We start from the raw sequence: 6,000 nt of genomic DNA on the forward strand, positions 1-6,000 counted from the left end.
GATACCAATACAAAATGCCTTATATGTTTTTGAATTGACTACAACATTGAAAATTTTGTCTATACATACGTGATACACTTAATTACTTAGCTTTTTTTTTCTTTTTTTTTTTTTGAGACAGAGTCTCCCTCTGCAGCCTAGGCTGGAGTGCAGTGGCGCGATCTCAGCTCACTGCAAGCTCCGCCTCCCGGGTTCACGCCATTCTCCTGCCTCAGCCTCCTGAGTAGCTGGGACTACAGGCGCCCGCCACCATGCCTGGCTAATTTTATTTTGTACTTTTAGTAGAGACGGGGTTTCACCATGTTAGCCAGGATGGTCTCGATCTCCTGACCTCGTGATCTGCCTGCCTGGGCCTCCCAAAGTGCTGGGATTACAGGCCTGAGCCACCGCACTCAGCCTATTTGAATTTTAATTGCTTTTCTGTGCTTGGAATATGTGTTTATGCTCACTATTGTCATATAATTAGTCCAACTGAAAATGGAAAAACTGAAAATAGTCTTCATAAATCTTTTTTAAAACATTTTTTAAATAAATTTTTTTTTGTTTTAATAGAGATGAGGTCTTGCTGTGTTGCCCAGGCAGGTCTCAAACTCCTGGGCTCAAGTGATCCTGCTGCCTTGGCCTCCCAAAGTGCTGGAATTACAGGTGTGAGCCACCATGTAAAGACAGCCAGTCTTTGTACATATTAAATAAAAATAAAGATAAAATATAACTACTTAGTATCTTCATCTACTCCAGTAGTGCTTTTATAATAGATTAAAAATAAGATTTTTGTTCTATCGTTTTGCCGTTTTGTAGTCAGAGTCAGTATTAGTTCAATGTGTAGTCTCGTTAGCAAGCATCATAGTCACATCTACTTTGCTAACAATAGGTGGCACCAGCACACAAGCGTCTCATCTGTATTCAACCCAACAGAAATACCAAGAGATAGGAGGGAAATAGAAAATATTCAAAATGCTCGAAGGCAACGAATTCAATTCTGATGAACAGATATGTTGGGGAGCCACGTGAAATAAGAGTTGTGCTCCAGTGGGTAGGCGCTTCAAACTATGGACATAAATGCCCAAATATGTGAGGTAGTTTGGTCTTTTATTGAGAAAAATGAAAGAAAAACAAGCTGTCTTGGGAAATGTCTAACCAGAAAATCTATCTGATTTCTCAAAATAAATTCCGAAGAACAGAGGACACCAACGATTGTACCTGTGTGTCGCACTACAACACTGGCAGAAGTAGAAGCTGCACGAGAGAGTGGGGAAGAAAAAGCAAGAAGGGTAGAAATGGGATGATAATCAAATGCCCCAGGACTTTGAAACTTCAAAAAAAAGGTGTTATGTACTTTCTGCTTATTTTTTCCTAAAATGTGTAAAAAGCGTGCTGATCATGTAGATGACTAAGAAAATGTCCTCAGGGGAGAGAAAAACCCATGAAGATGGAGAATTGATTACAATTATCATACAACATTTCTCGTCACTTACGTTTTGCATTTGTAAAACTAGCACACATGAAACTTTTATTAATTTTTTCTTATTCTTTTTCTTTCTCTTTCTTTTTCTTTTCTTTTTTTTTTTTTTTTGAGATGGAGTCTTCCTCTGTTGCCTAGGCTGGAGTGCAGTGGCGCAATCTTGGCTTACTGCAATCTCCGCCTCCTGGGTTCAAGCAATTCTCCTGCCTCAGCCTCCCGAGTAGCTGGGGTTACAGGCAGCCGCCACCACACCCAGCTAAATTTATTGTATTTTTAGTGGAGACAGGGTTTCATCATGTTGCCCAGGCTGGTCTCAAACTCCTGACCTCAAGAGATCTGCCTGTCTTGGCCTCCCAAAGTGCTGGGATTACAGGCGTGAGCCACCATGCCCCACTCTTTTATTAATTTTTTCTTAAGAAGCAGTGCAATTTGGGTGTTTATCACCAGAGTGTTGCCAACCTTCACTACACAAAGGTTTCTTTTAAAATAAGCTAAATTTAATTGTATATCACCTTGTAAAAACCTAATTGCTGTTAAATTTTCTCTTTAAACTAAAATCTTTATTGAAATAAGAGCACAACAATCAATGGATTAATTTAATACCTCTGAGTCTCCTTCATTTATTTGTGAAATGTAAGGGAGGAATATTTTAAATGTTCCTCCACTGTTGTATAAGAATGATATATGATTTAGAGCAAGAATTAAGGAAATATAAACACCCAAGTACAACAGTACAACTAAATATCTTATTATGAATACTTTAAAGTTAATTCTTTAATTTTTTTCCTTCTAGTTATAGGTTGACAAATTTATTGTGAATCTTTTTTTTTTTTTTTTTTTTTTGAGATGGAGTCTCACTCTGTCTCCCATGCTGGAGGCCAGTGGCACGGTCTCAGCTCACTGCAAGCTCCGCCTCCTGGGTTCACACCATTCTCCTGCCTCAGCCTCCCGAGTAGCTGGGACTACAGGCGCCCGCCACCACGCCCAGCTAATTTTTTGTGTTTTTAGTAGAGACGGGGTTTCACCATGTTAGCCAGGATGGTCTCGATCTCCTGACCTCGTGATCCGCCTGCCTGGGCCTCCCAAAGTGCTGGGATTACAGGCGTAAGCCACCACGCCTGGCCTATTTTGAATCTTTCCTAATACCAAACATCTACAAGGGTATAGTATGGCTCAGGTGGTTTTTGGACTTTATGGTCTTTGGAGTAAAAATACATTGCTTTGAATATATACACATTACTTGAATATCTTTTGCTAATAAAATATTTCTTCTATTATCTACTTTTCTTGCTTGCCTATGGAAGCTATGATTACATCTCAAATCCTAATTTTTTTTTTTTGAGATGGAGTCTCGCTCTGTTGCCCCGGCTGGAGTACAGTGGCGCGATCTCGGCTCACTGCAAGCTCCGCCTCCCGGGTTCACGCCATTCTCCTGCCTCCCCAGTAGCTGGGACTACAGGTGCCCGCCACCACACCCAGCTAATTTTTTTTGTATTTTTAGTAGAGATGGGGTTTCACCATGTTAGCCAGGATGGTCTCGATCTCCTGACCTCGTGATCTGCCCGCCTCGGCCTCCCAGAGTGGTGGGATTACAGGCGTGAGCCACCGCGCCCGGCCTCAAATCCTAATTTTTAAATCAAATACTTAAAATTAGTAATTCTCCTTAGCAATTCAGTAAGTTTTGTAACCTAACCTTAATACTCATCAATGATACAAAATACTTTGGAAGGTGAAGCATTAAAAAACAACTTTAAGAAACATACACTACCCATATAACATATATTTTTAAATATTAGGTCAAATTATTTTTTTTTCATAAAATCACTCCCAACATTCCGAATTACCCAGATTGCCTGAGTTTGATAATTGTCTTTACTTGTATATATCTCTCTCCAAGTAGATGCTAAGGTACTTGAAGCCAAATTACTTTCTTGAGTATTTCACTGATAATTTTTTGTGCTACTTTCTCTGCCTTCCCCAATCCTTGAATCCTTCTTAGTCTGATGTCACACATCTTAGATGGATTCTGATCCTGTCTGGGTTTCTGTCAGAAGTAATCCAGTATCCGTATTATTTTGTAAGAAACCTGCGTTTTTCTTCGCTGTGCACTTCTGCTACCACTATTCCAACTGCTTTCTTCCAGAATTTTGTAATTTCTCACCTGCTGATGTGTCTCTCCTGATCTCATTATTACTTACGTTTGTATTTTAACAGAGTATCAGAAAAGAGAGAAGATAAATGTGTGTGAATATATATTTTTATGTAGTCATTTTTGTTTGTAATTGAAACTCTGGGAATTCAAAATTAACATCCTTGCCCGTGAGCTTCTTATAGACACCAGAAAAAGTTTCAACCTTGTGTTCCACATTGTTCTGCTGTGCTTTGTCCAAATGAACCTTTATGAGCCGGCTGCCATCTAGTTTCACGCGGATTCTCTTGCCCACAATTTCGCTTGGGAAGACCAAGTCCTCAAGGATGGCATCGTGCACAGCTGTCAGAGTATGGCTCCTGGGACGCTTTTGCTTATTTTTTGTACGGCTTTTTCGAGTTGGCTTAGGCAGAATTCTTCTCTGAACGATAAAGACGACATGCTTCCCACTGAACTTTTTCTCCAATTCGCGTACTAGCCGGACTTGAATTTTCTGGAAAGATTTCAGTTGAGGAATGGGAACAAAGATTATGATAGCTTTCCGACCACCACCAAGTTCAATTTCCTTGGCTGCCGTAATATTCAGCTCCCTGAGCTGAGCTTTGAGGTCCGAGTTCATCTCCAGCTCCAGAAGAGCCTGGGAGATGCCGGACTCGAACTCGTCCGGCTTCTCATCATTGGGCTTCACGATCTTGGCGCTCGAACTGAACATGGCCTTCTCCTGGGAGAACTCGCCGAGCGCCGGCTTAGGAAGAGGTCTTCTTTAACTAGAACTGAAAGTAGTTTTATGGTTATTTGGGTGAGAATTTAAGACATTAACTTATATTGGTGGTTCTTAAAGTGTGGTCCTCGGACAGCAGCATCAGCATCACCTGGGTGTTTGTTAGCAATGCAGAATCTTGGACCTGTCCTGGACCTGCTGAATCAGAATTTCAGGGATACGGCCAAGTAGTCCTTGCTTTAAGAAGCACTCCGGGTGATTCTATTGCAAGGTAAAGTTTGAGAGCCACTAATTTAATTGGACATTCTTAGGGCGTCGATTCTTTGTTAACCTCTTTGTTTTTATATTGAGTGAATGTTTGTACTTCTCTTTATTGTTTCCTTCTTTTGACTTTCTGTTTATTTATTTATTATTAACTTCCTAAGGGCACGTCTAAATTCTAGTCTTTATTCTTTTCTAATATAAGCATATGTCTTAACATTTTTTTGAAGTACCAATTTTGCTATATCCTCGCAAGTATTCAAATATAGTATTTCTAGCATTCATTTACACATACTCAAAATTTTCCGTTACAATATCTTCTTTTACCCCTTTTTCGAGGTTTAAAAATTCCAAATACAGACTTTGGTTTATCTTTTTGTTACTGTGTTTCTCAAGTTTAGAGAATGTGGCCAGTGTGATATTTCTTTAAAATATAGAGACTTGCTTTATTTTACTTTCTGTAAATATCTCATTTGTGCTTGAGAAGAACGTATATTTTCTAATTATTGACTGTGTTCTGAATATGTTCAGTAAGTCAAGCTTGCCGTTGTGTTGTTGGAATTCTCTATAGCTATAGCTGCTGGTTTTTATTCTTTGTTTCCTTGACTTGGCTTTTTTCTTTGTTTGAGAAAGATGTGTTGAACTCCCCTGCCCCCACCTTATGATGGTAATTTCTCAATTTCTTCCTGCAGTTCTAGCAACATTTGCTTGATACACTTTGAGATACATAAATTTTAGAATTACAGTGATTTGGAATTTCTTTTTCTATATCTTTACTTTTAAATTTTCCGTAGTCCAGATGTTTTAGGTCTGATTTTTGTGAGCTGCATATGGCTGGTTTTTGCCTGTTTTTTATTGGAAAATTTGACCCACTTTTATTGGGATTATAGATATATTTCATTTTGTTTCAATCATCTCACTTGGTACTTTCTATTTGTCTAGATTTTCCTATGCTTTTACCCCTTCCTTCTTGCCTTTTAAATACTGATTTAAAAAATTTTATTCATTTAATTCATTATTTCCCTGTCTACTGGCTGAAAATTATTACATTCAAAAAAAAAAAAGAAAAGAAAATCATTACATCTATTTTCATGCTTGAAATCTTGCTATGCATGCAATTATCCCCTGTTATCCATGGGTGATTGGTTCTAGGACCCCTAAGGATGCCAAAATTCATGGATGCTCAAGTCCCTTATATATAAAATAGTATAGTATTTGCATATAACTTATGCATATCCTCTCATATGCTTTAAATAATCCCTATTACAATGTTAATGCTATGTAAATAGTTGTTACACTATATTGCTTAGGGGATAAAGACAAGAAAAAAAAGTCTGTACATGTTCCGTATAGATGGAACCACTGTAGGCTGAAGTCTATTTTCCATCTGTCATTGATTGAATCTAT

The 6,000-nt window shown here is 38.5% G+C and overlaps 1 pseudogene; it reads right to left on the minus strand.

The window, feature by feature from the left end:
• RPS7P10 (ribosomal protein S7 pseudogene 10) lies at positions 3,706–4,367 on the minus strand (annotated as a pseudogene).

This window comes from Homo sapiens, chromosome 13 (genome assembly GCF_000001405.40).
Source record: "Homo sapiens chromosome 13, GRCh38.p14 Primary Assembly".
NCBI lineage: Eukaryota > Metazoa > Chordata > Mammalia > Primates > Hominidae > Homo > Homo sapiens.